The sequence below is a fragment of the Homo sapiens genome, chromosome 6, assembly GCF_000001405.40.
Source record: "Homo sapiens chromosome 6, GRCh38.p14 Primary Assembly".
Taxonomy (NCBI): domain Eukaryota; kingdom Metazoa; phylum Chordata; class Mammalia; order Primates; family Hominidae; genus Homo; species Homo sapiens.
Window position 1 is genome coordinate 143,260,491 of NC_000006.12, and position 24,740 is coordinate 143,285,230.

The 24,740-nt window shown below is 39.8% G+C and overlaps 1 protein-coding gene across 20 annotated transcripts in view, besides 2 other annotated features; it reads left to right on the forward strand.

The window, feature by feature from the left end:
- Positions 1–24,740, forward strand: part of AIG1 (androgen induced 1) — a 284,671-nt gene that overhangs the window by 201,278 nt on the left and 58,653 nt on the right. For 18 of the 20 annotated variants that reach the window (NR_158896.1, NR_158960.1, NM_001286587.2 and 15 more), the window contains one exon: positions 23,620–23,735. The exons of the other annotated variants lie outside the window; for them this stretch is intronic. Coding sequence is in view for 16 of the 18 variants with exons in the window: in NM_001286587.2 (NP_001273516.1) it covers positions 23,620–23,735 (116 nt within the window). In the remaining 2 variants the exon portion in view is untranslated. The remainder of the gene's footprint in view (positions 1–23,619; positions 23,736–24,740) is intronic. 20 annotated transcript variants of the gene reach the window in all.
- Positions 15,913–16,042: an enhancer, noted in NCBI's record as "active region_25195". NCBI's record gives its function as "activates an Ori minimal core promoter by ATAC-STARR-seq in GM12878 lymphoblastoid cells {active_cell/tissue: GM12878}" and the evidence as "EXISTENCE:reporter gene assay evidence [ECO:0000049][PMID:35858748]".
- Positions 18,942–19,236: a silencer, noted in NCBI's record as "tiled region #5457; HepG2 Repressive non-DNase unmatched - State 12:CtcfO". NCBI's record gives its function as "represses a minimal TATA promoter and a strong SV40 promoter by Sharpr-MPRA in HepG2 cells {active_cell/tissue: HepG2}" and the evidence as "EXISTENCE:reporter gene assay evidence [ECO:0000049][PMID:27701403]".

A 24,740-nucleotide genomic window follows, 5' to 3' on the forward strand; every position in this document is an offset into this window, starting at 1 on the left:
GATTCCCTGTTGGGTCCACTTAGTTCCAAGATAACTCAAAAACCTGTGGGGTGCTGTGGTCGCAAGAAAGAATCAGGAAAAGACCATAGCTCAAGCAATAAAATGATAACACAAACATTGACTGAGCACTTACCTTGTGCCAGGTACTGTAGTGACTGTTTTACATACATTGCCTGGTTTACTTCAGCACCACACCATTAGGTATTTATTCCTTTTTAAGCCCATTTTATAGCTGTGAGAATTGAGGCTTAAATAAGTTAAATGTCTTCCCCAAGGTCACAAAGCTAGTGAGTGCAAAGCTAGAATTCCAACCCAGGTGTAACTTCAGTAACCACTGGGCTTCCCATCCCACAACTGCAAAAGCCTGCAATTCATTGAACAGTATATTTTGCTTAAAGAAGCCCTAATTCCCCTTCACCCCCCCGCCATCCCTTTGCTCATTAAAATTAACAAACAAAAAGAATGTCTTTCTCTTTGGTTTCAGCTCTTTAGCTGGTGGGAAGAGGAGGAGAAATTAAAAGTAAGGAGACTCCCAGAGTTTCAAACCCACAAGCAAACAGCCTGGAGATGACTTGAGTCATCTTCCACAAACATCTGATGTTGCAGAGGAATGGGGAAGGAAGAAGGAAAGCATGAGTAGCTCTTTTTTTTTCTCTTTTGAGACAGAGTCTCCCTCTGTCACTCAGGCTGGAGTGCAGCGGCGCGATCTCAGCTCACTGCAATCTCCGCCTCCCGGGTTGAAGCGATTCTCCTGTCTCAGCCTCCCAACTAGCTGGGATTCCAGGCACACACCACCATGCACGGGTTATTTTTCTATTTTTAATAGAGACGAGGTTTCTCCATGTTGACCAAGCTGGTCTCGAACTCCTGACCTCAGGTGATCCACCCGCCTCGGCCTCTCAAAGTGCTGGGATTACAGATGTGAGCCAATGCGCCTGGCCACTGGTAGCTGTTAGGTGTTGGCATTTTCCAGCCCCTGCAAGGCTGAATTTGGGGGAGGTGTGTGAATACTGGTGGCCTTGGCCTAAGCAGGCAAAAGCTTCACCCTGAAAAGTAGCTTTGGTTAAATGTCAGAATTTATGTGGCAAAAAAATCTATTAAAAAGCATATATAAAGTATAGCCCTTACCTTTCCTCTATGCAATTTTTTTTAATGTTTGAGTCTAAAGCTTTTCAAACACACCTGGAGAAACTGAATCAACACCAGCCTATCCTCCACCAATGGGTTAAGTTCACAAAGATGGAAAGTTAGAGGAAACCTCATAAACTTAAAGAGTTACCATTGCTTCACAAGATAAAAAGAACTCTAGTTAAAGATACTCTAAACAAACAACTCTAGCTTTGCAGTGATTTAGGGAACGTCTTGATGTCTTTTTCCTCATTGATTTTGGTGCATTAAATTTAAGTTGGCTGATAATCCTTGCACTCTTGAAAAAGCTAATGGTTAGTTTACAGCAATTTCTCTTAATGATTATCTTTCAGAAAGCATTTGAGTTATGAGAGAGAGTATCTAACTTATCCTGCTGTTGATAAATAGAATTGGAAGACATATTCAAGGTGCTGCTGCAAAGACGCTTTCAGCAATTGCTGCAGCTCAGCCCATGGATGTTCAGTGAAATAAATAACAGAAAGCAGTCTAAGAATTTGCAAGAGGAAGTGTTTTTATATTGCTTAGCAAAATCATCTCTATATTAAAACCACTTGTAAATTTAAACTGTGCCAGGGGAGGGAAGGTAAATGGGCTTACATAATCCAAGTAGCATAGGAAATATTAAATACTTCATGTTGTTAAAACAGGGTGACATCATTTCCAAGGTACTTTTTTCTCCAGAAAATTGAAGGCTCCATCCGCAAGTAAGTAGTAGGAAGAATTATTTGCTGTGGGAGAAACTCTAACATACAGCTCTGCCTTACACTGATTCTGCAGCTGGAAAACGAGAACTCCCCTGTATTATTTCATTTTTTCAAGCTGCAAAGCAAATAGGGGAACAGAGGTAAAGAAACTAAGAAAATTCTGAGAAGCCATGCTCTTCAAATGATGGAAGGTGCTGCCAAGAATCACATTAACTTACTACTTGATAAATACAAATTTAAGAAATAGGGATTCTTACAGATTCCTACAATGACGAAAGGGATTTTACGCAGGATCAGAAAAAGGTAGAAGGAGGCAATATGCATCAAAACAGAACTAAAAATTGAAGACTCATTAGAAAAAAATAAAGGTTTATAGTCTAGCAAGGGAAGATCTTAAAAAGACTTATGTTATCTAGTAGAGTTTCCCAAAGGGCCAATCCAGGGATAGAAAATCATTAGGGGGACCACAGATGAATCATGCATTTTACACTTTTCTGCCAAAATGGTGGTCAGTTTTTCAAAAGTTCTCAAATGCGTTGTTATTGCAATGCTTTCTAATTTTCTCCCCTTTACATTCCTCCTCAAATAAATCTGCATAGCCATCCTGAAATATTATTCATAAAATTAACACCACAGATGAGCAGATTGACAGAAGAGAGCCACAAGTAGTATTTGTTAGGGCACTGATGTCCCAGAGGACTGACTTGAAAGCTTGAAATGACTCTTTTGGTCATGATTATGTATAAGGAAGATCCGATTAGTACATCACCTTTACTCCCCCCAGTTGTCTTTGGCCTTTCCCCAGTATTGCTTATGGTGACCAAGCATTTTTAAATGGTTCCCTAGCAAAGCAAAAGTCATCACTATTCAGCAATACCACTTTTATTTGATAGCTTCCCCTCTTTGTTTTCTATATCCTAGTCCTTTATTTGTTTTTTTTTTTCTTTCTTTCTTATAACTTACTTAAGCTTCTACTTCCTTCTCACTCTCTTATTTCTGATGTCAGGAACATGCCGATTTGCCCTTTCTCCTGCTCATCTGCTCAGCTTATTATAAGCCCTGCCCTGGTTCTTCATATTTCTGTGTTTTCTTGGAAACACTTTATTCAAATATTTTCCTGTACATACACCACATTTTCTTTAATGTATGCTTTAAAAAAATTTTATGAATGTAACTTTAATAACAAGGTAATACCCACAAATTAAAGAACATTCTAAAAAATATAAAAATGTAGAAACAAGAAAGATCACTCATGGTTCTTCAGACAAAGGAATCGGTGTTAACATTATGATGTGCTCCTTTTAGATTTTTCCATGTAATATTTATGAAACTAAATATGATAATATAAATATGTTTTGATGTTCTTTGATGTCTAAATGTGATGTATAAGTATTTTAGATGTTTTTAATGGTTGTATAATATTCCACCGAGTGGATATATCTTACTTGAAAAACCATTCCCCAATGGTAGATTATTAAGATTATTTTAAATTATTTTGCTACTGTAAGTAGGGCTAGGGAAAATATATTTGTTTACCAAGCTGAAGGAGAATGTGTTTTATCTTGTGTTTATTTCTTTTATTTAGGCTGGTTATTATTTCTTTAGCATAGATTCCTAGGAATCGAACTATAGTCCTTGTTAGTAGGGACAGTTTGCTTCCAAAACAGTGGTTGAGTTGTATTTTCTGTCCAGTATTCATGAGAGGTGCTTTTCACTTTATTCTTGCAACATGACAGATTCTTATAAGAAAAGTTTGCTAATTTAATATGTGTAAATGGTTTTTAACTTGATTATAACTGTTTATTTTATTCGTATGAGCGCGTATATGCTTGGGTATTTATTAGCCTTTATTCATTAATTTTTTCGCCCCTTTCATCTTTCCTTTATCTTGTGCCCACACTGCGGATTTCCAGTGCTTATCCTTATTCGCTCCTGCTCACTTTTCCTCCCTCAAAGTTATTTTTGCATTTTCTTTTGTCTGGTGTCCAGTAACTTGTGGGGCAGTGGGAACCAAATTGCATTTTAAGATCTTTTTTATGAGATGTTCTCAGCAGGCATCTTCAAGGCCCCAAATTCTCTTTTTGTCCCCCACTGTGAAAAACTGATTGGCATCTGGTGATGGGCAGGGCACGGGTGCCTGGCGCTTGCAGGAAGCCCCACAGGAGGTGCACAGAGCCATGGTGGATGAAGTGTGGCCAAGCCAGCACAAGGTGGGGGACCAGATGTCGCCCGATTATGTTCCATTGAAATCCAAACAAAGCCCCAGATTCAGGATCATTTCCTTGAGACTCCCCAGTTGGAAATTGGCACTGAGCCAGAATCTCACAACAGCTGGTCTCCCCATGCTAGGATTTATGTGCCTTACCAAAAACTTTACCTGCGTGTTATTGATTGGTTTCTGTAAAGCAATGAAACAATATTTTGAAGACCCAAAGCATACTGCTCTCTGCTGAAAATAAAAAGACCATATATCACTGAACACACCAGCAAGTCTTATTATAGGCTTGAGAACTCTGAGAAGGATGCGTTTTCCTTTTTATTTATGCCACCCATGTTAACCTTGAGGCTGTGTACTGACATTTGCAGCTTCGCAATGACAACACTCCACTCTTGTTAGGAGACCAAGTCCACCCTTTGGAAATAAATTATATTATAAAATAAGCTTTCAAGGGATACCAGCAGATGAGAAATCATGCTTATGTTTCTCATCATCTAGTTTGTGTTGAGAAATCGGAGAGTCTTCCCAAAATCTCATTACTTGTTATCATCCAGGTCATTTGCATTTATGTCCTTCTCCTTTCCTCCTGCAAAGGAAGATGAACTACAAGCCTGGCAGTTTCATTGTTGTGGATAACGAGGAGGAAAAACCTACAAACAAAAGCCACTCCATTCTGCCCCACCCTCAAAGATACTGAAGTTGGTTGTGCTGAGCCACAGGGGAAGATTGTAATTTAAAAACAAAAACTAGCATTTCTTTGTTAAATAATCGTCATGAAAGCATTTATATTCATATTATACTTGGCTAAATATGTATTCCTGATGTGAATCCAGGAACTCTGTTTTATGCATTGCCTTGATCCCTGGCTGCTGCTGCTATCTCAGTCACCTGATAATGTCTCAGTCTTTCTCTCATTCTCTTCCCTCTTCCCCTCTCTCTGCCCCTCTAGCTGCCTGGCGGTCCTCAACTCAGATTCTCAGACCTCACAGTGAGATTTTGGAGCTAACCCACTCCATTAGAAACAAACAAAATAAATTGTTTCCATTCCCCAAAGGAATGTGCTAAAGCCTTTTTCCTCTTTAACATGGATGCAATTTAAGTTTGGCAAGAGCTGAACACAATATACCTCACTAGGAGGAGAAAGATTTCTGAGACCCTGATAGAAAGAACTAAACACCCCCTCATCCTTCCTGTGAACTTAAAGTGACAAAAAGTAACCTGGTAATGCCTTCGGTATTCACAGTGTTTCTGCAAAATCCTCACTCATTCCCTCATTCCATAAACATGCATTAAGCACCTACTAACTGAAAACGCTGTGTGCACATTCCTTCCCAGCTGTTCCTTCAAGGTGCATTTCATTTCCTCAATCTCTAGCCCCTACCATGCCACAGGCATTCAAATGTCATTCAGTGGCATTTCTCTTCATTACTCTGATTTAGAATCCTGCTTATCTGTAGTGTTTCACAGGCGATGATTTGAAGGGCAATAAGAATAATATGGCCCATAAGCTGGGCGCCATGGCTCACGCCTGTAATCCCAGCACTGTGGGAGGCCGAGGCAGGTGGATCACGAGGTCAGGAGTTCAAGACCAGCCTGGCCAACATGGTGAAACCCCATCTCTACTAAAATACAAAAATTAGCCGAGCATGGTGGCGAGCGCCTGTAATCCCAGCTACTCGGGAGGCTGAGGTAAGAGAATCGCTTGAACCCAGGAGGCAGAGGTTGCAGTGAGTCGAGATCGTGCCATTGCACTCTGGCCTGGACAATAGAGTAAGAGTCCGTCTCAAAAAAAAAAAAAAAAAAAGAATAATAATATGGCCCATTCATTGCAGGTGTTAAATGGAAATCGCCTGAGATCAGCTGTCAAGAATTAATCAGGGATACTTACTGTATTATGTACTTGAAACTAAGAGGGTAGACCCTAAGTGTTAACACACACACACACAACTATGTGGGGTGTTGGATATATTAATTAGCTTGATTGTGGTAATCATTTAACAATGTATCCATATATCAGAACCCCAAGTTGTACACTTTAAATATATACAATTTCTGTTTGTCAATTATACCCCAGTACTGAAAAAAAAAATGGTCAAGAAGGGCTGGGCATGGTGGCTAACACCTACAATCCCAGTGCTTTGGGAGGCCAAGGCAAGAGGATCACTTGAGGGCAGGAGTTTGAGATCAGCTTGGGCAACATGATGAGACCTCATCTCTACAAAAAATAAATTAGCTGGGCATGGTGGAACACACCTGTAGTTTAGCCCTACGCAGGAGGCTGAAGTGGAAGGATTGCTTGAGACCAGGATTTCAAGGCTGCTGTGAACTATGATCACACCATGGCACTCCAGCCTGGGTAAGAATTCATTAAGGACAATAATATGATCTAGAACCAATTTAAGCAGAGCCAAAAGAAGGACCTGACCTCAAAGAATATGCACATGAATCAGAAAAGCGACCCAGTCCTTGTCAACGTCCTGCTTCTCTCTCTTTCTTTTCCCTTTCCTAATGCTCATCTCTTTGTAAAACATCTCCTCCTCATGGACTTAAAAGATTCAAACATCTTTGTTCAAATTCTGGAAGTCATGGTGCTTCCCCCAGACTGAGGTGATTGCCACTGAGGATCAGATCCCAGGTGAGTTGAGGGCAGAGGAAAGGGTCCTCTGAAGCCACGTTGGAGAAGGGCTTGTTAGACTTCCCTTTACTACAAGAACGCCTGCTATTCTTCATGCATCCTAGCTTTTCCTAGTCATTCTTTATTCCTTGATCATATTCACCCACTTACCAAAACACTTACTGGATTGATTTTTACTTTTAGTGTGTTCTACTTTCATAATCCATAAGCTGCCTATCCTCGTATAGCACAGCACACAGCTATTTTTATAATCCTCTACTCATTTGATTCCTAGCCCCAGTAATCCAGGAACTGGCCATTATATCTAGTTCATGCAACCCATAAAGTTGCACATTCTGTACCTTTTGAATAGTCTTTCTCTCATCTTTTTCCCCTTCATCCTTTCTGATTCTTGAAGCTGAAAAGATTCTCAAGGCTCCAAGTTAGCCCTGCCCTCATCTTGGTTCCTTCTTCAGTGGCTACCAGATATCATAGACTTATGACTATCAAAGCAAGAGGAATATGGAGTCAGGGAGATACATTGGCTGGAGCAAGGGGTGGGCCTGAAGACAAAAGTTGATGAGCAGTTTTTGAAGGTCCAGTCTCTGTTCATGAGGGAGGCTCCTGGTGAAGAGATAGAAATGCCACTCATCACTGTGTACACTGGGGACTTTTCCGTTTACCTGAGATAGTCACAGAATGGAGACCTGCCTCCTAGGGGTCAACCAAAGTAGGTACGAGGAAGGATCTGCAGCTGGTTTAAGCTTTAAAAATGTGCCTCTACCCAGGATTAGGCTGCAGAGGCTGATGAAAATGTCAGGTTTCTTTGATTTGGCTGAACTCTGTGAGCACAATGTTGTAATACTGTTGATCTCATGCTGATCTGAAGCTGGCCAAAATATATATCCATGATGAATTATAATAAAAATAGGGAGGATTATGACTTGATATATAAAGTTTGGGAAATAAAGCCATTTAAAATATTGGTCTGTGGGTGAAAATGACAAAACATAGGGCCATAAGGAGGAATAAAACCAAAGGTTGGTTGTGTGATCTACATGTGGAGCTCAGAGCATGTTTCTTCCTCCAGCCCCCTTCCCCGTTGCTCTGCCTCATGAGGGAATTAGCACTTGGTATTGTCTGTACGACTGGCATTGTTCCCTGAGCCTCGAGTCTACGGGGACCACAACTAGATGGTCTAACGTGTGCCTTATTCAGCTGAATAAGGTGTTGAATAGCTACAAATTGATAACAAGTTTTAAAGAGCATGAAGTGCCAACTATGCCCTGGCTAGTAAGAAAGCCAGTTATATGTCAAGGAGGCTTATTAGCTGTGCATGACCATATATAAAATTACAGGGGCTGACTATAGCACCAAAATTAGGTGGTGGTAAGGAATTTAATCATGTACTGACCAATTTCTTGTTTCATAAGAACACTAAGTCCCTGTAAGTGCCAATGTCAGCAGATTCATAACCCTGCAGCGCAATTTTGGATTGTCAGAATCTGTTAACTGTAGGTATGCCATCTATGGATTTTAAAATCAGAGGTTCAGACTAGCTGTATTACTTGGTGTAGTGTTAACCATGTTTGGTGGATGCCAGGATGTGCCACACAGGTCCCCTTTGGGGATTGGACTTACTTCCCCAGCAGGTGGGAGTGCCGTCAGTTTCAGCCCTCTGCTCTAAGCCCTCTCCAGAACTGCCCTTATGTGAAGACAGCAGCCTTACTAAGTTCAGACCCCCTTCCTGTGGCAGCCCTCATCCCATAACTGGTCCATGCTGGGGTATAAAGACCTGACCCACTTCCTCTATTAGGGGCAACTCTGAAGGGCAGGGCCTTCACAGCTTTGCAGCTCCTAGTAGGGTGGGCTCAGGCCCTTGTTCAGACTGCATTGCAAGGCCATACCTTCCTTACCTAGATCACACTTTCTTACTTTCCCTGGACAGGTGTTGGTCCTAGAACACTTCCCTAATAAACTTCTGCATGCTGATTTCCATCTCAGAATCTGCCACACAGGGAACCTGACCAGCAACAGTAGGACAATCTGGATGGCTTGAGTCAGAAGGTGATAAGTTAGAAATAAAGCACTGAAATTTAAAGGGCAAGCATGAGAATGACTCAAATGAAAAAGACAGTATCAAGTGCTGGCAAGGATTCAGAATAAGTGGAACTCTCATACACTGCTGACGGGAGGGTCTATTGGTACAATCATTTGGAAAACTCTTTGACTCTGTCTGTTAAAGTTGAATATCTGTGATCATGTCCTATGAGCTAGCAGTTTCTCTCCTCAGTATATATGCCTAAGAAAAATGCACGCATGCCCACCAAAAGAAGAATACACACAAATGGGCATAGCAGCACTCTTGCCAAATGCACCAAACTGGAGAGAACCACAGTGTCATCAATAACAGAATGAATAAATACATCATATTATAGTCACACAATGGAGTACTATGCAGCAATGAGAAGGAAAACTACAGCTCCACAAGGCAATACAGATGAATATCACAAATATAATATTGAACAAAAGCAGCCAGACACAAAAGAAGACATAACATATGATTCCATTTATACAAATGTAAACATCGGCAAAACTGATGTATGGTGTTTGAAGTCAGAGTGGTGGTTGCCTTTATGGAGATTCACTGTGACAAGAAGAAGTCTGAAGGGGATATTCTGGAAGGCTTTCGAAGCTGTTTTTGATCCAATTGCTGGTTACTGGAGTGAGTTCACTTTAGGAACATTTGTTGATTTTTCTGGACACTCACTATTTGTGCACTTTTCTGTGATATGGTATAGTATTTAAACTCAGAGTTTATATAGTGAAGGAAGAAGAAGGAAGGGCAGATGTAAACACTGGATACAAAAAATGTGACATCACGGATGTAGACAAAAATTCCCAAGATTCAAACAGGACCCCTACTGTCCAGTACTGCAGACTCCTATAGATGACAAGTCTGAGGTCCAGAAGGGCTCCAGTTGGCTCAAAGTTACATAGCCAGCTAATGGTGAAAGACTTCCTGGCCCCATCCTTTCCCCCTCTTCCCACACTTAGCAGAGCCAATGTGGTCACTAGAGTCTCCATTCATCTGAGCTCAGCATTGACCACAGAATCATCCAGGCAGCCTAAGCAAGATATGCAATGTACAGGGAAATAAAACATGAGCAAAGACCTGAAAAAGGCATAGGAATTTGATGTAACAGAAATGTTATCCATTTCTTAGAGGCCTTTCTCCACCTATTACCTACTGTCTTCCCACCCACGCTTCTATAACTACCCACAATGCTTTGTGTTGAAAGTGTGTCATTTTCTTTTTGCAAAGCCAAAGACTACGGAGAAAAGGTTTTGAGCTGTGAGCTAAATTGCCTTTTTCTCCCTTGGCTTTTTCCTATAATCTTTGGGAGAACTCTAGACTATACTGGGCTCTAAAGGCCCCTTTTGAGAGCATTGCCTTATGTCATGGAATCATTGTGAAAAACAGCTAAGTTATAACTACTTTATATGTCTTTAAATAAGTTAGTATTTCTCTAAGAGCTTTAATTTCATTTAATAGGTGATAGAGATGACCTTGAAGATTAAAGCTGAAATATTCTTCATTCTTTAAGTATGTTAATATGTGTGTGTGCACATTTGTGTGTGTGCACATGGGTATGTGTGCTTGTGTGTGTGTGCATGGATGAGTGTGTGTGTTTGCATGTGTGCAAATGCATGAATCTGTACTAGTATATAGGCTTGCATGTCGTGTGCTTGCGTATGTTTGCATGTGTGTGTGCATATGCACAGGCACATTCTCTGTTAATATAATGCCATTTGCAGGGTGCTTGCCAGTCTCTTGAGACTCATGGTTCTCTGCTTTCGATTACACTCAGACTAGTCCAAAACCCCTCTGAACTAATTCTAATCAACTTGGAAGCCACCACACTCAGGCATGAGGCCGTCAAATGTGAGTGTTTGCAGATGTCAGTGCAGAGATGGCAGTAATCCAGGAGGACAGATCAAGGCTTAGTCACTGAAAAATACATGCCAGTGCATCCCAGCTCCAGAGCACCATCTCAGCCCATAAGAAAAACATGTCATGACAGTAAATCAATAACCCCTTGGAGATGATTCGTTTCTGAAATATCCCTGATTAATTATGCCAGTCCATGCTTGGCAAGAGTACTTTGCTCCAGCATTAACCTAATGCTTTTTGCATGAAGCAGGATTATAACGGGTTCTCATAAGTCAAATTTGACATTTTAAATCAGGCTTTAAAGGTTTGGGTTATAGATTTTATAATGTCTCCATGTCAAACATAATTGCTCTTATTGCTGCTAGTAGACGTTTGCCAATCAATCAAAATAACATTTATTTTCATCATAAACAAGGGTAAATTAAAACCATTTGAAATCATTGTATTTGAAAACTTAGTGAAGAAGCATCTTTAGTACCATTGAAATTTGCTTCCTCACTGTGATACATGGGAGCGTGATGAAATTATAAAAGTCGATGGAAATGTGTTACTATTTTCACCTTGAAAAATTAATGCTTCTACATATTTTGTGAATACGCGGCTTAAATTTGGTGGCTTATTCCCATATGATTATGATTTGGGGCAAAATAGCTCCCTTTCTTTACATAATAGGAAATTATCATTTTTGTCCCTTAAAGATGAATATATCTTTCAGTTTGCTTATAAATTGCATTCAGAACTTATTTCTTATTCCTCTTAAATTGCAAGTGTTTTTTTCTCTAAGAAAAGTTAATGGAAAAAGAAGATTTGCTTAAGGGGAAGTCATACTAATAGGTTCCTTCAACAAAAGCTTAGCATACAATGGTCAACTGGTTTGTACATTCTCCCTAAAGTACTTCCAATGCATCAGGGTCACCTTCCCTTACGGTAATTATAGCATTATGTGGTATATTACTACTCTATTTCTATACTGTATGTGTATACTATTTCTATTTGATTATACTGAGATAGATCTCAGTATAGTCATTGAGTGCCATCATGTAGGTATGCAGTGGGAACACGAAAAAGAGGGATTAACTCCGCCCGAGACAGAGCTGACCTTATGGAATAGTGTATTAGTCAGAATAGGCTAACTTACCCGAAGATAGTAACTTCATTCTGAATTCTCTGTAGATTAACCCCACAAAGTTTCTCATTCACACAAAGTATGTTGTTATCCAGTTGACCCTCCAGAGCAGCTTTCTTCCAGGTGGTAATGCAGGGATCCAGAACCCTTCCATCTATGATCTTAACATGTGGCTCTCAGGTCACTATGGTAGAGAAGAGAGAGAGTGAACACACACCAGCTTTTAAATGCACTGGCCTAAGAGTGTCCACATCGCTTCTGTTAATAATAGGCCCATTGGCCAGGACTAGAGCTTACTGTGGCCCCGCCTAACTGAGGAAGCATAGAAATGTGAGGCTGATTCTTTGATGGGAGGAAAATGACTCTGCAATATGTATATACCAAGGATAAGATCCCAAATATTAAGGGATTGCAGTCAGAAAGAAGATGAACAAAGACGTGAAAGTTTGAGGTCTTTTAATGGAACAATAACAGTTGCCAGTCCAGAGTGGTATAAGATTAATCTAGAAAAGTAGGTTGAATCACATAGTAAGGGCCTTTGAAGGCAATGCCAAGAAACTTGGACTTCACCTGAAAATAGTGGGAAGATTTTGGCCAGGCGCGGTGGCTCATGCCTGTGATCCCAGCACTTTGGGAGGCCGAGGTGGGCGAATCACAAGGTCAGGAGTTCAAGACCAGCCTGGCCAACATGGTGAAACCCCATTTCTACTAAAAATACAAAAATTAGCTGGGCATCGTGATCGGCACCTGTTATCCCAGCTACTTGGGAGGCTGAGGCAGGAGAATTGCTTGAACCCGGGAGGCGGAGGTTGAAGTGAGCTGAGATCATGCCATTGCACTCCAGTCTGGGCGACAGAGTGAGACTTCGTCTCAAAAAAAAATATTGTGGGAATATTTTAAAGAAGAGAACCACATAGTCAGAATTATGTTTTTAAAGCCATACTCTGACATTGCAGGATGCTGATATCTACGAATAAGTGGATTCTACTGAGAAAATATCTGAAAAGCAGGTGAATAACATTAAAATCCTAGGTTATTGTTTTTCAAGCTTCCTTTTGTTAAATTTCAGAGTGCTGTGAATGATGTTTCATTTTTCTATAGTTGCTCCCCAAACTTGTCACTTTTCCGTGCTCTTTAAGAAAATACTTCAATGCTTTAAATTTTACTGAGTGCAGGAACACCTACTTGAGTTTCACTTTTCCCTTGCCATTCACCTCTGCTGTGTCCCCCATTGCTCTCTCTTCTTGCATTCTTCACCTCACTCCCCAGAATGTTTCTTTATTAGTCCATTTTCACGCTGCTGATAAAGACATACCTGAGACTGGGTAATTTATAAAGAATGAGAGGTTTAATGGACTCATAGTTCCACGTGACTGCGGAGGCCTCACAATCATGGTGGAAGGCGAAAGGCATGTCTTACATGGTGGCAGGCAAGAGAGCATGAGAGCCAAGCAAAAGGGGAAACCCCTTATAAAACCATCAGATCTTGTGAGACTTATTCACTACCATGAGAACAGTATGGGGGAAACTGCCCCCATGATTCAATTTTCTCCCACCAGGACCCTCCCAAACACATGGGAATTATGGGAGCTACAATTTAAGATGAGAATTGGGTGAGGACACAGCCAAACCATATCAGTTTCCAAAATACTATTAAGGAGAGTGGGCCACCAAAAACACAAGAAAGGTAGCACAAATCTCAGAAAGAGAATGCCTCTCCATGACAACAGCTTGGAGTTACTCTCCCTTCTTCCCCTCTACCTCCATGAGGCTCTTGCTACCTGTGGGATTTACCCTCTGACATGGGCATAAAGACTGACCTGTTGTCCCTCAGACCCTGGAATCTTAAGAAGCTGAATGGTGGGGCGATGAGAGACGATTTCAGGTTCCTTCTCCCAGGCACAGCCATGACACAGTCAGCTCCCCTTCCCTCATAGGAGATCTACCCCTGGCCATTCTTTTATCCTTCGGTTGTCCTGGTGCTCCATAGGCAGCAGAGCACTGGGAGTCAAACTGCCCAAGTCTGAGCACAAACTCACCACCTTCCAGTTGGATAAACTTGTGCAACTTTCTTAACTTCTTGTGCCTCAGTCTCTGTAAAATGGAATTGATGATGATAATAACATATACCTTGAGGCATTATCTTGAGAATTAAATGAGTTTTATTCCATGTAAAGCGATCAGTACAGTTCCTGGCATGCAATAAATAGATCTCATAGAATAACTTCAATTATTTGCATGTGTTGTGTGAGCCACTTCTACTCCAAGATCCTATACATGCAACCCCAGTGAATGAGATCTTTTCCAAGGTGAGAGACTTTAAATTTTTATTCACCTAATTGAGACATGTTTCCCAGAACAGCAGTCCGTTGGAGGCAAGGATGACTGGTGTATAGTAGGAATATAGTATTTATTGGATGAATGAATGAATGAATGAACAAACGAGCATGGGAAGCAGTGTGTGTCAGTAAAAGAGCATGTTTTAGAGTCAGGTAGATCTGGAATCAAATGTTGGCTACACCATTTATGAGTTCTACACTACCTTTGACAAGTGAACCCCTCTGTTCCTTCATTTCGTCATGTATAAAATGAAGAAGATAACTACTACATTAGGATTGCTGTGAGAATTAAATATGATAACAGTGGGAAATGTCTAGTATAAACTCAGCATATATTAGGAGCTCAGTAAATGGTAGCTATTATTATTGTTATTCCATATTTCTGCACATCCAGTTAATGATAGAGGAAGCAGCATAAACACAGAGGGATGAAATAAATATTTTCTTTGTTTACCTGTCAAATTGACATTTACAAAGTTAGACTAGCTTTCTTTTTGTTCTTTATCTTATGTTGTTGTCTGTATTGTGGAGCTTATTAAAGTAAAGGAGAAAAAGAAGAGTAGAAAGGGGGAAATTGTAGGTGACAAGGCTGCAGAGAGGTGAGGAAGAGGTGTGAGGCTGAGGAAGTGGCCTAGAAGAAAGTCATGGAAAGTCCCTTCCTTGAAAAGCCAGCAGGATAGGAACCAGGCAGGAGAGGGGAGCGACTTGACAGATAAATCTCTCCTCTCTTCACTCCCTTCTCCACTCTTTCTCCAGCTTAATCTTTCTACTATTAATATCCAAATTTGTTTCTCCTACTTCTCTAGATCTTAAACTCCATGGAAGATGTCTGAACCTATAGAGGAACGTCTGCTTCCTGCAGGGCAGACTCCAGCTCAAAGCCCTCTAGGGTTTGGCAGACACCTCCCTCACCCTCACCCGTGCAAACCCAGCTCTTCATCCTCTTTCATGTCTTGCAGTGGTAACAGTGCCCTTAGTGGACTGTGCTGTACCTTTACTTTTTCTTCTCCTTGGCCATGTGAATGAATGCTGTCCTTTACCCTTCTACTTATCAACCCCTAGTCACATTTAAAAACCCAGTTCTAATGTCCACCATGATATGAGATCTTTCCTTGACATAACCAAGCAGAGCAAATCACTCTGGCCTTTGTGCCATTGTTGGTCTGCAAGTCTGCATACAGCTCATCATAGTATAGTGGTTTGCCTGTCTGAGGGCATTCATTAGAGGTGCTATTCTGTGAGAACTACACATACTAATTGGGAAATCTTCGTGGAAGAAAGCAAACACTAAGTCACTTAAAAATGGATGTTATATTTTATGGTACAACATGGGTCATCTCTAGCATCCCAGTCACAAAAAGAATTCCTTAATTGGTGGCCCACAGGCTGCTGAGCTGAAAAGGAAAGAGAAAATACACACCGCACTGCAGCCTCCTGGTAATGCCATGGCCCCTTAGCACCTCCTGGGTGTCCTCATTAGGATTCAGCAAGAGATAGTTACTGCCTCAAGTCATATTTAAAATCTTTAAATGCAAAAGTAATAGCCCAGTAAAACGTGTCACTGTCCTAGTGTAATGGTTCCTATGACATATAGTTGCTCTTAATTGCAACGATATGCATGTCTTAATTAAGTGTGCAACACTATTTTATTTGGCGTAATTATTAAAACCATATCCTAAGAGTTGTTGGGGCTAATGTTAGAAGTGAGTAAATTCCAAATTTAGTCCTTAGCCTATAAAGAGTTTTGGAAGTGCCCAGAACATACTGGCACTCAGTAAGTATTGTTCTGTCTGAACCTGAGTTTTTCACCTTGGGTCACTGTTTCTAACCTCATTTTGAACATGAGGTTGTTCTGGTGTAAGAGCATCTCAGCCTGGTTTGACAGCCGGCAGGAACAGGTATCCAACATATGCCAAAAAGGCACAGTTAAAAAATGCCCTGGCAGTTTCTGGAGAGAGATTCTATGCCATGCTGATAGGTAGCACCAAACTAAAGCCAGCACTGGGCGCTGGGGAGAGGGAGACCCATGACAAGAGGAAGTTCTGTTTGACTTCTGGAGAAACAGAAACTATAGTGGCTGAGACTGGCAGTTCCTCATCATTCAAAACACTACAATGTCTCTACTAGGAAGGGAGGGAGGGAGGGTAGCAGATTTTGAGCTGACCAATTAGCGAAATTAATAATGATAGTTTCAAGATAAAACATTTTGTCAGATTTCCCGAGGTAAAAATTCAGGGGATTTTTTTGGAGCCTGCATCAGTTTTCTTTCCAAGCTACTTCGGATGTCATTTCTATCTCCCTTGAAGAGGAGAAACATCTCATCCAGCTAACACTGTTCAGTGGCCCCAAGGGCAGATCCACGTTGATTCTCTTCATGCCCTCACTAATGCTGCGTTTTCCTGTATTCTTCGAACATTTGACTTATTTGGGAAGCCTAGAAGCTTTGCCAAAGATTAGGATCAGCCAGAGATTGGTGATTTTTCTCAGTTTTTCTCATGTCCCCTTTCTATTGTTTTAGATCATGTTTTGCTAATGCAATGGGCTTTATTTCCAAACCTGGAAATTTCTTCTTGCTTTATTTCAAGATAAAAATGTTCTCATTTTTAATACCCTTTTGTTCTATGGGGGGGTGAGAGGAAACAGGAAAAAGTAAACAAAATATTCGAGTTACAATCTAGAGTGCACAATTTTTGTATCTTAGGATAGCTTTTCATACTATTCTTATTTACAATATAGCTATAAACTTATTGGACCTCCTAGGAACCCTTCCGTATCCCATCTTCGTAGGCAAGTCCAGTCACATCGCTGGCCCTGCCTGCAGTCCAGGTGCTTATAAGAATACAGGTGCACAGTAACACAAAGATATGCACGTTGCAAAGATATGCATGTCTTTATTAAGTGTGCAACACACACGCACATGCACACTGCCATCTTTTTATTTATGATCCAAAGTTGTCATTGGGTTATTAGAAAACATGAAGGCAAGAACAAGCTCCTCTAGTGATTTGATGCACACATAACTGTGCAAACACTTCCAGAGGCCTGCCTGTATCCTACAGGTGCCAGTAGCGGACAGGGGATTGCCAGGTCTCTTATGACCCAATGAGGTTGGCCACACCTCACATACAAAAGCTGGTTTTACTTCTGAGGAAAAAACGATTCTTGCCTGGTGTTCATATGATATGGGAGTAGTACCCTCCTATTAAAAAATATTTTGGAGAGAAGGAGAAAGACCAGAGAAATAGCAGTTGAACATAGTCTTCAAATATTGCCTATTAATTTTTGTGTTGTACACTCTGATTATAACTCTCAATTCTAGAGATCTAAAATAGTCTTGAGAGCTCCCCTAATTCATCCGTCTGACTTGCCTGGATTTATACCATCATGCAGCATAATTTTTGTCCTTCTATTAATCCACAGCGAAGATTATTCCAAAACTTCTCTGTAGTTTATAGGTCATTCATTGCCATCACAAATAGTCCAAAATTTTCCCCAGGAGCCAGTCCAGACCCTTCTTGTGTAGTGTGAACATTTTTCCTTTAATACCATTACATTCGTCTGTCAGAATCTAAACCTCCAACTCATCCATCTTTCCAGTTTCCTGGTGAAAGAACATCCATTCATAAATCAAATAATCTAGTAGTTAGAAGGTACAACTACAACTTATGAATAATCTATTCCAGTATACCCCAGTATGTAGGCTGTATAGCTCTTGTGTTTTGCAAGATAATTTATGTAGCACGGGGACGTGACATTAAATAATATTAAATTGCATAGTGAAAAGTTTATTCCCTCTGAATTATCTTTCAGTCCTTCTCATTCTGTTTAGGAGAGTCTCTCTTTCATGCCAGTATATCTTTTTTCTTTTCTTTTTTTTTTTTTTTTCTTTTTGAGACTGAGTCTCGCTCTGTCACCCAGGCTGCAGTGCGGTGGCGTGATCTCGGCTCACTGCAACCTCTGCCTCCCAGGTTCAAGTGATTCTCCTGCCTCAGCCTCCCAACTAGCTAGGATTACAGGCGCCTGCCACCAAGCCTGGCTAATTTTTGTTTTTTCAGTAGAGACGGGGTTTCGCCAAGTTGACCAGGCTGGTCTCGAACTCCTGACCTCAGGTGATCCGCCCGCCTCAGCCTCCCAAAGTGCTGGGATTACAGGCATGAGCCATTGTGTCCAGCTTCATGCCAGTATATCTTTAGTGCCCCTCTATACTTACTAATGTCCTTATTTAACACAGATAGGGGAGGCCTCAAAATAATCTAATAAGATTAATTCATTTTTATTGTATTTTGTTTTTGTGATTATCTTCTATTTATGACAAATGATATTCCATTTATGAGAGTTTACATACAGTTTTCCTTTAAGTACATTTATTTAAGAAAAATGTGAGTGAATTGGGTGAGAACTTTAAAAAAAAAATCAAGTAGCATGAACGGGGCCACAGTATGGCTTTTGTAGATTTTAAGCACTTTGTGTTAGTGAGTCCCTTCTTACATTAGTGTGTACGTGTGTATACGTATATGATGTTTTATGACAGCATTGGTATACAGATGAATATAATCTTCAACTCTGAAAGTTCATTTTTTTCTTCTGATTCTAAAAGAAACTAAGACATTTTCATGGGCCCTGGCACTGTGGCTACTGTCCCTAAAGCATAGGTGGGTCAGCCCTGGCATGTGTTATAGCAAAACTCATTAGCTCTTCAGGAGAAGCACTAATTTAATCCAACTGCCTCATTTTACAAAGAATAATACTAAGCTTCACACATGTGTGAGAACCTGCGGGTCTGAGAGTGAGGAAGGACAAAATCAGAACTAGATCTCAGATGCCAGCCTCCTAATCTTTCCACTTCATTACACTGCTGTCTTCCTTTGAGCCTCTTCTGCAAAAGCCCTTTTTCTTGTCCCATCTGCTTCCGAGTCTTCACATCAGAATTAATCATGGGTCCTTCCGTGAATCCAGCCCCACCTCAGGTGTGAGGACTGCTCTGTGTGGAGGTGACACCCCCTTGTGGATCTCTTCTGCAAATAGACCTTTGTCACGGGAGGCTGGTCAGTTCACAGCCTCCATGGCAGTGGAGTCAGTTCACTCCGCTCCATCACGGGGGACCCACCAAGACCCCATTAAGAAAAGCACAAATGATGCAATAAATCAGGATAGATTTAGGCTTCGTTTTTTGGACACAATCTTCCAAATGATAGCTCCTCATTAAAACTAGCTAAAATGGATGATAGAGCTTGGGATAGGTTCACCACTTATATCCTAGACCAGTACTTTCTAGGATGGACTTTATATGGAAGACCAAAGGTTTACTCCTTGGGCTGTCAACCTTCATTTTACTTAGCTCTTCAAACAAGTCAAGCCTTGTTTTTAGCTCAGCTCCTGGGGAATTGTTCTGTTGACAATGTACTGCAGAAAACAGTCCAAACAATTCTTAAGAGCTAAGAGCCACCTTTGGTGACTAGACTTTGTAACCATCTCATTTATCCAAGGTGGATCTACATCTACCTGAAAATACTGTAAGTTGTAAATGGTATTTGTGTTTGGGGAAACAGCAACAGATCATTCTTCAGCTCGCTTCCAGCCATCTGTAACTGTCATCATACCACTAGAAAGCTCTGACTTTCAAAAAGTAACAGATGCTGGTGAGGTTGCGAAGAAAAGGGAACACTTATACACTGTTGGTGGGAGTGTAATTCAACCCATTGTTGAAGGCAATATGACGATTCCTCAAAGAGCTAAAAGTAGAACTACCATTAGACCCAGCAATCCCATCACTGGGTACGTGCCCAGAAGAATAGAAATCATTCTACCATAAAGATATATGTGCACAAATGTTCATTGCAGCACCACTCACAATAGCGAAAACATGGAATCAACCTAAATGCCTATCAGTGACAGATTGGATAAGGAAAATGTGGTACCTGTACACCACAGAATACTATGCAGCCGTAAAAAAGAGTGAGATCACGTCTTTTGCAGGAGCATGGATGGAGATGGAGGCTGTAATCCTTAGCAAACTAATGCAGGAACAGAAAACCAAACACCGCATGTTCTCACTTATAAGTGGGAGCTAAATGATAAGAACTTATGAACACAAAGAAGGAAATAACAGACACTGGGGTCTACTTGAGGGGGAGGTTGGGAGGAGGGAGAGTAGCAGAAAAGATAACTATTGGGTACTGGGCTTAATACCTGGGTGATGAGATAATACGTACAATGAAACCCCATGACGTGTGTTTACCTATGTAACAAACCTTCACGTGTATCCCCAAATCTAAAATAAAAGTTAAAAAAAAGTTCTGACTTTATGCTAGCTAATGTTATTGTTTATTATTATTGATTGGATAATATATCACAGGAAAGACATATTTAGCAAAAATCATTTTTTACAGTGAAGACCTTTTTATTTGTTTTGAGGCCCAACCAAAAAATAATTCCAATCTGTTGGGAGATAATGTAAGTGATCTGCAATTATGCACTTCTACAGGTTTATTGATTCAAACATTATTCAACTGTGATATCTTTTAAAAATATAATACTAATGCAGAAAAAAGAGCATGAGATTTGGAGGCATACAGAACTAGTTTTGTATCCTACCTCCAGACCTACTAGCTCTGTGATCTTAGGCAAGATAATTAACCTTTCTGAGCCTTTTTTGCCCCATCTGCAGAATGGAGTTAATAATATCCATATAAGATGTTGTTTTGAAGATTAAATTATCTGGAAAAATATTGACTGAGTACCTCTCTTGTGCCAGGTTCTTTTCTAAGTGCTGCAGATACCACAGTGAGCAAAACACTAAGAGTGCTGTTCTTATGCAGTGATGATTTTAACTGGAGTTAAATATTTCCCTCCTGGTTCTTAAGTCATTGAAGCAGAGTATTGCCTGAGAATGGGTTGGAACTGGATTTCATGTAGCTGTAGTTCTAAAATAATTATCTCTCTTGCTGCTATAGATTTTAAGTTATAACTCAACTGCTAAAGGTTACTTATTCATCAGGACCATTCATAGTTTTTTACCATTCTTTTAGTTCACAAAACTTTAGTTATCTGTAAGGCAACATTTATATTTGCAGTAGGTATTTTCTGCTAATTTATGTTTGTTAATACGTACTATGTATAAATAAACATAATTTGCATTATAAATTTCTAGAGAGGGAGATACACAGTCTTTAGTGCATGAAAATTCCAAATGATAAGCTGTTATGACATAGAAAAACCTTCTACTAAGATTTGCCACTGGACAAACCTGCACATGCACAGCTAGCCACAAAAAGATCTTTTGTCTGTGGTTATGTCACTGATGGGACAAGTTGCTCCTGTTTAGTGGTGATGACACCAATGATGAAGTGATCTAGAAAGATATTCCTTTTTCAAATTGATTTTCTTCCTGGAATGGTTTAAAGTACATCCTGATTCTCCCAGATACATCTGATCATCAGCAAGTATCAGATGTCCTATCTGGAAGATATGCATACATTTTATCACTTTCCTTGATAAAATAATGACAACTGAATAAGCATATTCTGATTGGTTATTTATACAACCAATATATATTTATTTAAAAATGGAGGATTTTCTACTTCATTTGGAGCAATGAATGAAGGGTAGAACTTAAGAAATTTATTAATATCAGTGATCCAAAAGTAATGTCATTGTCATTTATGATCCACACAGGCCCTCAGGGTCAGCATTATCATCAGTGTAAAGGTTTGATCTGCAGGTATTTTTCTTTTATGTAAGATTTGATAAGACATAGCCTTATTGCTAGCTGTATATTTGAATTTTGCGTGAATGCACCATTGTAAAACTATTGTTGCCATCTCAAACTGTTGGCGACATTCCAGGCCGATGTCATCTGAGGTAACTAGATTATAATGAAAAACCAATAGATCTTTAAAATGCATACTGTCTCTGTACTAGCACACATGTACATTGGCTTGCATGACTTTCTTCAGAGCTAATTATACTGTTTTAAAAAAATAGTAATAAAGAAGATAAAAGATAAAGAAATATAAAGCTACCCAACTGTGGAATCACTCACCTGATTTTCTCAGAATGCCACACTCTAATTACTAATGTATTGGCAGTCAGCACAGTTATCTAGAGGAGAATGTTTAAGGCAAAGATCATCCACTGTCTTAATATTTCTTACAAAATCATGTCTTTCTATTTTTTTCTAGGAATATAAACAATAGGTTGCTCCTAAGATGTTCATTTAGATATCCCCAACATGCCTTTTGCCTGCCAAGGCCTACTTGCCACCTGGTTCTATTTTGCTAGAATGCTTATTAGACTTTGAAAATCATAATATTCAATTTCCTGCCTTTTCCTTGAATACACAAATAATACAGGAAGAGCAAGGCAACGATTCTTTCACGGCTGTTTAGGAAGTACTAAATAGAATTTAAACCTGCTGATGGGTCAGTTTTCAGTTCTGCCATCTTTATACTCTTGAGAAAGTCTCCAGTATTGGAAGGTAAATATATATCCTGGCCCAGTTTTATCTTAGAAACTCTTTGTTCCTTTTATCTGTCCACTAAATTTCAAAACCAAGGGCATTTGAATATCTGAAAGGTTTAAGAATTTTAGTTTCCTTTCTTCTTACCTATAGATGGGATAAATTTCATCTCCATCCTGTTCCAATAAACTTAGTGTCTAGAGTAATCACTGAATCAGAAAAACAAAAAGATGTTCTACTCAGCTTCTTGGGATTCTGCCTTCAGACATCATGTCTAAATTCATGCACTACTGGTCCAAACTGGCACACCATTTCTGGAAGCTGATTTGGCGTTGTTTGCTAACCTGCTGCTCGTGCACACATAATTTGGCATTATTTATCAACAGCCTTAAAATCATATAGCCTTTGACAATAAAAACATAATTTAACATTTGGACAAAGAGTTCTACGAAAGATGTTCATCATGATGTTTTTAATAAATGAAAGGTTGAAAATCTTTTGCATCTTGATATCCAAGAACAAGAATTGGTTAAATAAATCTTAGTATATCCATATAATGGAGTTCTCCAAAGCTATGGTCAAGACCGATGTTCTGGAAGAATTTCTAAACTACCATATCAAAAATTCTCATGCTGCAATATTATGATAAAAATCCAAAACAGAATTGCACACACAGTATGATATTAACTGTGTTTAAGTAATATGAACAGGGAGGGAAAAAATGGGACGTACACCAAAATGTTAACAGTGGTGATTGTTATTCCTCTCTTTGGTTCCAGTTTTTTCTTAGACATTTTTCTAGGTTATCAAAATTCTCTGTAATGGGCATAAAATACAATAAAATTTCAAAAATTAAGATACAGAAGAAAAATATTAATGGAGCAATCAACGCACTATGTGGTTTTACGTCCATTCTACTTCTTTGGCGAGCCATAGACTTCTTTCTGCCTGACACTTTCCTAGGAATTTATAGTGTGCATTCTCCTACTGGTGAAAAAACAACTATAGAGAGACAATGATAGCAATCTGTGTCACCTAGTCTCTGTTATTTTCCAGCACACGACGGTTCTGCCCTTTATATTAATCGAGATGAGGACATCGCACCATCAGTATCCCAGCAGGAGCAGCGGACTTACCGCCATATGTACCTTCTCTGTTGGCTATATATTATGGTAAGGACCATGCCTGCTGGGCTTTCTTATTGTATTAGATTTTGCACTGCTAAATTTGGGCACATATTTCATTATGGATATAATCACTAACAGATTCACGCTGTGTGCCGCATTTGGTCCAAGACCTGGGCTTTGTCTCGTTTCCCCAGATGCTTATATTTTTAGAAAGTATATGCCAAACCTCACACAACAGGAATTTGTTGAACAATCCCATGTAAGCAGTGGTTCTTCCAAGGCTACATTTTTCAACTCTTTTTCAAACTAAATGTTTTTGTTGGACACCGGTTTTATTGCTTAAGGGCTTTTTTGCTTGGGATTTTGTTGTTGTTGCTTTTGTTGGGGGGCAGGGGAGTTGCAGCAAACACAAATGAGAACAGAAGTGACCTCTTAGAGCAATGACTTAAAACTTACTAGGAAACAAGTGAAAATGTATGTTTTCCCTGGTCCATTTAAAACCTACTCCAGAATTAACTGTTACATGGAGAATGCATTAAACTGTTCTGTTTTTAAATATTGGGATAAATAAACCACAAGAAATCTTCATTTGATCTATTGTGCACAATTCAGATCCAAGTGTGAGGTGCCAAATTTATCTGATAAAAGAATTTTTGCCTGGCGAGTCTACTTCACATTAATTTCAGTTCTTATCAGGTTTTTAACACTTCAAAAATTATTTATCTTAACATAGAGAATTTCTTATTTCTCTTTATAATTCCAAGTCCTCTTTGACATATTAACACGCACAGAGGAGGTCCCTCCTGCCAGCATTTCTGCCTCTTGGGACTCTTTTGTCCTGAGTTCTGGTTCACCATCCCCTCCTTTAAGCCCAAAGGACTGGATAGTGTTCTTCCAAAAACCCCTCAATTGTACTTAATCCCCCCAAATCCTAGAGCTCTTTGGGAGGCCCTATCTCCATGGAGCATCTTGCTCCAGCTGGAGTTGAAAAATAAAATAAAGGTCACTACAGTACCTGACACACTTTGCATAAACAATCACATGATGCCC